The sequence below is a fragment of the Homo sapiens genome, chromosome 8 (assembly GCF_000001405.40).
Source record: "Homo sapiens chromosome 8, GRCh38.p14 Primary Assembly".
Lineage (NCBI taxonomy): Eukaryota > Metazoa > Chordata > Mammalia > Primates > Hominidae > Homo > Homo sapiens.
In genome coordinates this window covers 6,800,040-6,808,343 of record NC_000008.11, presented here as the reverse complement: position 1 = coordinate 6,808,343, position 8,304 = coordinate 6,800,040, and the positions used below count along the sequence as shown (strand labels likewise).

Sequence of the window (8,304 nt, the reverse complement as noted above, 5' to 3'; positions counted from 1 at the left end):
TCTTCAGGGACCTGACACTGTTCTGTAGCGAGAGATTCTATTTTCTTCCTGCAGTTTCTTATGAGCCATGAAGAAACTCCTTAGGGCTCCAGACAGGTTCTTTAAGACAGAGTTACCCAAAGGTGGACAAGGCTGTCCCTGCAGACAAGTGCATAAAGCCAGAAGAGCCCCTTCGTGAAATGACTAAGAAGGAACCTCGAGGACTAGAAGATGCAGCTGAAAGTGACTTTCCAGGTCCTGACCTGGAGCTTCAGTGGCTGCGCATGGGCAGCAAGGAGCCACAGCAGCTGGAGACTTCAAGTCTGTTCCAGGACATTTTCCATTTTTTTTTTGTTTTTTGTTTTTGTTTGTTTGTTTGTTTTTTGGTAGAGATGGCGTTTCATCATTTTGGCCAGGCTGGTCTCGAACTCCTGACCTCAGGTGATCCACCCACCTCAGCCTCCCAATGTGCTGGGATTGCAGTCATGAGCCACTGTGCCCAGCCCACTTTCACTATTGAGAAGAAAGGAAGAACCAGAGAATGAAAACCAGTGCATCGGGAGACCTGAAGACGAGCATGTCGGCTCCCTGCTCTCGTGGAGCCTCTATGGGTCAGGTTTTGCAATTATCCACAATAACCAGCCTTGAGTATCCATGACGCTTCACCCCAGGAGAACTCATGCCTCTGCCTGTGGAAGGACACAGAGGACCTCAGTGGGGATGGAAGAAGGGCCTTCTCCTTGTCACCAGCTCCCAGGACTGAATACTGACTGCTGTCTTGGGGAGAAGGGACTGGATGGTGCTTTGGACCTCACTAGCCCCCATCTGGATCTTTATGGCTGGGCCCATAGAGCACGACCATGACATCTGGAGACAGCTGTGCTAATGCCCTTCAGACAAAGACCACCAGGAACCCCCTGTAACTGAACCAGTTGGGTTTATGACTCTTCTCGGCAAAGAAGCACGCACACCGTGGGGGACTGCGGGGCCGCTCAGTGAAAGGAGATTGGAAAGGAGTTACAGGATTTGGGCTTTGCTGGGTGAATCTGGGTGAGTCTAGGGAAGCCGGGTCTACTCAGGTTTGGGGGCAATGCTGTGACCCGGTATTGCAGTCAGTTGCATCTGTAGGGAGGGAGTCGAGCAAGCATAAAGCTGCCATGGGTAAAGAAGCAGTCATCACTCACTTAGTGGGAAAGGGGGAGCCTGGTGTTTTGTGGTTGCATGGTGACCTTTGGTCTTGCTGTGTCACGGTCTCCAGTGGCCACGTCAGAGGCTTCTCACAGAGGTGTCCTGTGAGAAGCTTTGTGGCCAACAGGAGAACACCAGGGCCGGCCTTAAGCATCGGACCAGGTCCCAGAGTTCCGGGACTGCTCTTTTCTTCATCATATTAGTGGTAGTTTTATAGATGTTTGGTAGCCTAAATATTATCTATTGGATCACAACCAAAACAGTAGCTTTTCCTGAGTCCCAGCGGCGGGTCACTCATCTTCCAGCTATGTCTGGACCCGAGTTTGCATTTCAGCCCATCCCGTCCTTAGTGCAGAGCGGACCTCACGTAGACCGGCTGCATTTGTCCACAGCGTACACTGATGTCCGGAGACAGCGGAAACAGCCATGTCTATCACAGAAGCCCAAGGTCACACAACCGTGACCCACCTGCCCGGGGGCGAGGCTGAGCCAGTGCAGATAGCCGGATGCTCCTCACAGGTCCGCAGGAAGGACAGGGGCCGGCGCTGCCCAGGCTGTGCCACGTCCAGTGCGTGAGAAGCTCCCGCTTGAGTCACCACGTCTGTCCCGACAGAGGTACGACCTCCTCCTTTCCCTGACACAGGGAGTATGGGAGGCAAAGCCATACTCGTGGGAGAACTCTCCAAGTCCACAGTGAGCAGGACGCAGATTCTCCCCGTATTTCCACCAGATTCACCCTCCATTTCCACCAGACTCGCCCTTCTTTCCCAACCAACCACCCTCCATCCCCACCCTTCACACCCACTCACCCCCATTCCCACCCACTTACCCCCCATCCTCACCCTCTCACCCTCCATCCCCCCGCACTCACTCTTGTCCCATCCACTCACCCCGCATCCCCCACCCCCACTAGGTCCTTTCCAGCCTCCCCCGCCATAAAACTGTGCGCCCTGAAAGATCGCTCCTCGCCTCAGGGACTCCTCCCTCCACTCGTGCGCCGTGGCTGCCCTGACTTGGTGCCGCGGAGATCCATCCTCAAGCAAACACCAGGGAACTTGTGGGCCGTTCTCCTGGGCTGCAGTCTTCTCCTGTCTCTGTCTCCTCCTCTGATGCCTCTTCCTCAGGAGGTGGCCGTCACCCACAGCTTCACAATGGCATTTCCCCTCAGAGCACTGATCCTCCGTCTGCTGCGGCAGCTACCAGGTCGCCTCTCTTCATTTTTTAAGTCCACGTCACCCCCCTCTTGTCCCGTGCAGGTACCCCTCTTATGCCCTACACCACAGACTGCACTGCACCGCTGTCTCCACCAAAAGCAGGGAACCTCTGCTATCCAGGACCTGTGGAAAATTAGGCTCGATTTCAATGAATGTTTCCATACCGATTATAAGCTCCTTAGGGCAGGAAATTTTGTTCAACTCTCTGTCCCCTTGAGACCCTGCTTGATAAATGGCTCATGGCAAGCACTCTTACCGTGGAATTCGATTTCCAGGCTTTTCTGAATGACTCAGGATTTTACCTCCAGAAGCAAAGCTTCTGAACACCCATTTTGTAGGCCGGTCTTTGTGGAAACATTTTCACTCCCTCCCCTGTCCTCTGTAGCGGAGAACTCTGACATCTCAGAACATGGCCGCTTCTCTCTTTCCTGCTCAGAGGAGCTGTTTACAAAGTGTGGGGTAGAGTTAGGAAACCCAGGAGGAATGGCAGAGCGCTCCGCCTGCATCCCTGAGGGCGGGCGTGGGGCTGCTGTCGACCCCCAGAGAGAGTGCTCGCCGCCCTTGGTCCCCCGGGTCTGGGCGGTGCTGTTGGTAAGGACTGCAGCCAACCCCCAGGGACCTGGCAGGAGAAGATACCTGCCCTGCCCTTCTGCTAGGGCCACCAGCATCGGCCAGACCTAACCAAAGACGTGGAGTCTCCAGGCAGTCTATAAAAACCAGCTCCCATGGCCCGGGGCAGGGCAAAGAGTCAGTCTGGAGGGGAGAACTGAAGACAACTGGCACTGCTACCGTGCTGAGATGCCTCGGGGACTTGTCTTACTCGCCGCCAAGCACTTGGCCCCTGCACCAAATGGCCCCCAAACTGTGGCCTTTTAAAATTTGTGTGTCCACTTCTCACAGTTTCCTCTCTCTTCATGCATATGAAAATAAAACTATTTTATGTATCTAGGACTTGGATTCTGGACTGCTGGTGATTGTCTTTCTGTGCCCTTTGCAGGCGCACGCAACATAACTCCTTTAGACACTTCTATTAAGAAGCAGAAAAGAAGGAACGGAAATTTTACATCTTCTGTCTCCCTATGACAACAGAAGAAAGCCTAGAAAAAAAATATAATTTTGAGACCCTTTTGCAGTTATCCTATAGGAGCAGCGCGACTGAAGAAGAACCAGCTACACCTCCTAATTGAATTATGTTCACTTTTTAAAGATGGATCTATTAACAGCATAAACAGCAGATTGAACAGCATAAAAGCTCATGGGCGTAAAACAGCGAGCACGCATTTTCCACTGGGGTCTGCATGTCATCTAATGGGGCTGTGGCTCCAGTCACCTCTGCGCACATCCCAGGCTTCGGGGCAGTGGCCAGACTGGAGGCAGAGGTTGGAAGTTCCCCGAGGGGCGAGTGGAAACTCTGCCATCCTGCCTCATGCATGGCCTCGACAAGCCCAGCTCCCATGGGGCAGGAAGCACACTCCTTCCATGGCGGTGGGTGAGATGGGAGAATGTTCTGTCACACAAGGTCAGTAGCTCCATGTCTGCCCTTTTCCTCCATCTTATGCCCCTGGAACTCATAGCAATAGAAATTACAGCCGCAGAAATGGCTCACAACACAGTCACCGAAGGCCCAGATCCAGAAGTGGATTCTATACATACCCTGAAGGTCAGGATTTATAAATCCACAAATAGATTCAATATGTATGTCCTGAAGGGTCTGTTTGTAGAAATCTATTTGACTTACATTTTTAAATTGATAGAGATGTTCTCCTGCCACTCTACAGAGTTGTCAAGTTCATCAGCTGGTGTTTTTGGCCATTGCCCTATTCTTGCCTTCGTTTTGATTCTGTATTCCTTCCTTTCTTTTAACCTCACCCAGTCCCCCAATTCCTAAAAGTCGGCCATTTTCACAGTACTTGGAAAGGCAACCAGAGCAATCTGAGAGCTTCATAAAAGGAGAAGATCCAGAAGGCAAGGCCCCTTGAGTGAGGCAGGATGTGGGGCCTGGACAGGAAGCTGGAGCTCCACAAATCAGCCCCCACATTCCTTCTTTCCTGCGCCCTTTCCTTTTCAGCATAGAGAAGAGGTTTTGGAAGAACAGCCAAGGGCCTATTAGGTAGGGCTTGCAGAAGAAAAACCCTCAGCAGTAGCCTCTGGGGAGGGCCTGATACCCGTGAAATGTCTCATTCTCTTCATGCCTCCAAATGGCCAGAGGATGGGTTAACCCATGAAATTGTTGGGCAGAACAATGACTTGTCTGGTTTTCCATATGACATTCTGCCATACCAAGCAGGGATTTTCACATTCCTTCTGAGCCCTTTCCTGAGTCAGCTCTCAAGCTAATGCCGCTGACACTAAGTAGGATTTTCGAAGCACCAAGAAAGAATTTTACTTGAAAACTCAAGTCCGCTTGCTCTCTTTAACACGGACTGTTATAACAGCAAAAACCACAATTACTTTCACACCAACATAATACTCGGCTGTCCTCCTAACTTTGATTCTATTTTCCATAGGATGTGGGATGGCCAACTGTCCTGCCTTCCCCAGGATGGAGGGATTTCCTGGCTTATGAGATTTTAGTGCCAAAACTGGATGGTCCCAGGCCAGTTGGGATGGTTGGTCACCCTAATACCAGTTAGCCATATTCAGCCTTTCTACTTTCGTATTAGACATCATGTCAGAAAAGAAAGACAGTATTTCCTGGTTAAAAAAATCTGAAAGGCAATACAAGCTTACCTAAGTTAGCTCCTACACCACCAAACCCCAACCCCCCAACTGCCATCAGTCCTGCAAAATATCAATTTGACTAACATCCCGCTTGCTAATCATGACTACCAAAGTCTATATAATAGTTAACTTCAAGCTATAGCAATGCCAGGAGTGATCCTACTCTAAAGTCAAAGCTACCATCCAGATTTTAAGTTAACATCTCTCAGGGAGGAAATCTTCCATGGAAAAATACCATGGAAAAATCCACTACTTTGACCACACAGATACATTCATTATGGCACAACCGTAATTACAACTTTGCCTGTCAGGGTTTCCATTATAAATGGGATCTGAATCTTGGTGGAACGCAATTCTTTCCAGCTGGAGTGAACCATGGACAGGTTTTCAGCCCGTTGGGGATTTTTCTGATTTGTCTACAAATTGGCAAGGCTGGGGTTGGGGAAGGGAAAGAGGGGGAAGATGAGATTGGGAACAGAATAAACCATATGGAATTTTGTTCTTAGTGTGCCCTTTAAACTGAAATAAGGGAACACAAACAAACAAAAAGACAAACAACCAAGACCAATTAAGGATATCTTTCAGACCCTAAAGTCTTAGATTCAAAGGGATGCTTTGTCTTTAAGTTACTTTAAAAGATAGAGCATTTAGAGAAAAGAAGGGAGATTTGTTCTTTCTTCGTCTTTGTTGTTGTTGTTTCTTTTTTTTCTTATACCTGAAGTTTGGCCAAGTACTGAAGACATGTACTTTTTTGGCTCACTGTGCCTTTGAGGGCAAAGCAAAGAACTGTGGAAAGCGACGTGGGATGTGAGACCTGGGTTCTCTTCCAGGTTCTTTTTCCAGCTAATCCTGTGACCAAAGATAAATGACCTAATCTTTCTGAGACTCAGTTTCCTTTTCTGTAAAACAGGGATATGATCATTCGTCTGGCTAGGTCATGGAATTCCCATGCATATCTACAAAGGCAGTGGATGTGAGCTGTCTCACCCATGTGGTAGGAGCCTCCTTTTGGCTTTTCTGGTTTCTCAAGCTGAGTCCCCCAGGTCCCTCCCGAGAGGATGGAGTCATCGTCTGCAGTCAGGGGTCTGTTGTTGACTGGGACCAGGGAAGAAGGGCGGCACCTGTACCCCGTCCTCCCTCCCCGATACTGCCTCACCTGGTTCATCCCAAAGGCAAATGCACACTGCACCCTGAGGAGGGTCAAGCTTGCTTTTGTTGATAGTTTTACAGTAATTATGCCAAAGCCATAAAATCATCTAAGGAGATCTTGCCTTCATCTGGTGACCTTGGAGGCTTCCCAAGGGCAACAACGTCATCCATGGAATGTGAGATCCCTGTCTTCCCCTCTTACCCCTAGAACTTCTAGGAACAGTGAAGAAAAAGGGATCAATCTTAGTTGTTAGTTTTGTTGTTGTTGTTGTCATTTGTTCTTTTTGTTTGTTTTGTAGATGGAGTCTTGCTCTGTCACCCAGGGTGGAGTGCAGTGACATAATCTCGGCTCACTGCAACCTCTGCCTCCCGGGTTCGTGATTCTCATGCCTCAGCCTCCCGAGTAGCTGGGACTACAGGCATGTGCCACCACGCCCAGTTAATTTTTGTATTTTTAGTAGATACAGGGTTTCACCACGTTGGCCAGGCTGGCCTTGAACTCCTGACCTCAAGTGGATCTGCCTGCCTCAGCCTTCCAAAGTGCTGGGATTACAGGCGTGAGCCACCGTGAGTGGCCTGTTTGTTTGTTTTAAGTAACAGCCCTTGCAGAATGAATGATAAAGTTCCAGTTAGATCATCAGACCCAACGTTCCATTCTCAAATGTCTTAAGAGTTTTGAGGTCAATACACATATATTTTTTGCTCCAGCAGTAGGGAGTCATGTGACAAATCTGAATAATGGAGTTAGGTGGACAAAAGCCTAAGGTGAATTTCGTAAGGTTATCAAAAACGTTCAGGATTTGTAGTCATTTATTTTCAGTGACTGTCAGCGAAAAGCTTAGTCTGGCTTAGTTTTGACTTCGTCTTGAAATAAATGTTCCACGGCCACCTTCTCTCACTTAATTCATGGTAACATTGAGCCGTAATTCTACATTGCAAAAAGCCGTTCTTTGTGGACATCATCATCACACCGACATCCTGTTGACTCTCATAATAAAGCCGTTCTGCGGTGAGCTAGCGAAATAGGCGTGTGACGGAGTTCAGCGTATTTCACGTTCAGGCTTGGCTGCAGGAGCGGCTGGGGCTGCAAGCTCACTAATTCTCAGCCCTGTGGAATGATGGGACTGACCCTGAACTTAGAGCCGCCCCCAGGCTGGAACCTGGGCTCCCCGGCGCGGCCACCAGGTGGCACTGGCGCCCTCCCTCGCGGACCCAGGCTGGTGCTCTCGTCCTTTCAAGCACAAGCTTGGAGGCCTGATTTTCAATCAGTTGCTTTCAAACGCACAAACGCCGGTAAGGACCCCACCAAGGGGCTTGTGAAAAGCTCAGCAGTGCAGGACATTTTGCATTTTCCCAGCAAGTTGCCGGCCTGCCCTGGTCAGAGCGCTGTGTGTCGGGGTTTATGAAGATAATTAGGTGTTCAGATGCAGTTACCAACTTTCAGTAAGAAGGAATACGACAGCTTTTCATTTGCAACAGCAGGTGCCCTTAAAGGTGAAGTGAGCATTGACGAAGCGTCCAGGGCTCTCTGCTTGTTCATCCACGGGCGGGTGGTTACTGTGGGGACGGACACGTCAGCCTCCAGGTGCTGTGGTCATTAAGGAAAATAAGGTCACCTTCTGTGTCTCTTCAGGGACAGTGAGTTCTGGAACGGGTCACCAGGGCTGCCCATGTTCAGCTCTAAATTCTATAGATCTAGAAAGTGCTTTTCATTTCTGTGAGGTGCCCCTCTCAGACACTGGGACGTTACTCAGTGCTAAAAAGAAATGAGCCTTCAAGCCATGAAAAGACAAGGAGGAAATTTAAACGCATGTTACTAAGTGAAAGAAGCCAATCTGAAAAGGCTGCATATTCCAACTTATGACATTCTAGAAAAGGCAGAGCTATGGAGACAGGAAAAAGAGCAGTGGCTGCCAGGGGTTCGGGATGAGGGAGGGTGAATAGTTGGAGCACAGAGGATTCTTAGGACAGTGAAAGTCCCCTGTCTGGCAATGTAGCCAGGGATGGATGGCATGGTACATGTGTCAGACCCATAGAACGTGCAACCCCAGAG

At 49.5% G+C, this 8,304-nt stretch overlaps 1 long non-coding RNA gene across 1 annotated transcript, besides 2 other annotated features; it reads left to right on the top strand.

Moving 5' to 3' along the window:
* Positions 1–441: 441 nt before the first annotated feature.
* Positions 442–3,338, top strand: LOC107986909 (uncharacterized). Its single transcript, XR_001745769.2, has 2 exons — positions 442–1,029; positions 1,560–3,338. It is a non-coding gene; the product is annotated as an uncharacterized LOC107986909 (long non-coding RNA).
* Positions 2,470–2,970: an enhancer, noted in NCBI's record as "H3K4me1 hESC enhancer chr8:6662895-6663395 (GRCh37/hg19 assembly coordinates)". NCBI's record gives its function as "activates a minimal SCP1, AML or CMV promoter by ChIP-STARR-seq in primed H9 embryonic stem cells {active_cell/tissue: H9 hESC(primed)}" and the evidence as "EXISTENCE:reporter gene assay evidence [ECO:0000049][PMID:30033119]".
* Positions 7,332–7,511: a silencer, noted in NCBI's record as "silent region_18887". NCBI's record gives its function as "represses an Ori minimal core promoter by ATAC-STARR-seq in GM12878 lymphoblastoid cells {active_cell/tissue: GM12878}" and the evidence as "EXISTENCE:reporter gene assay evidence [ECO:0000049][PMID:35858748]".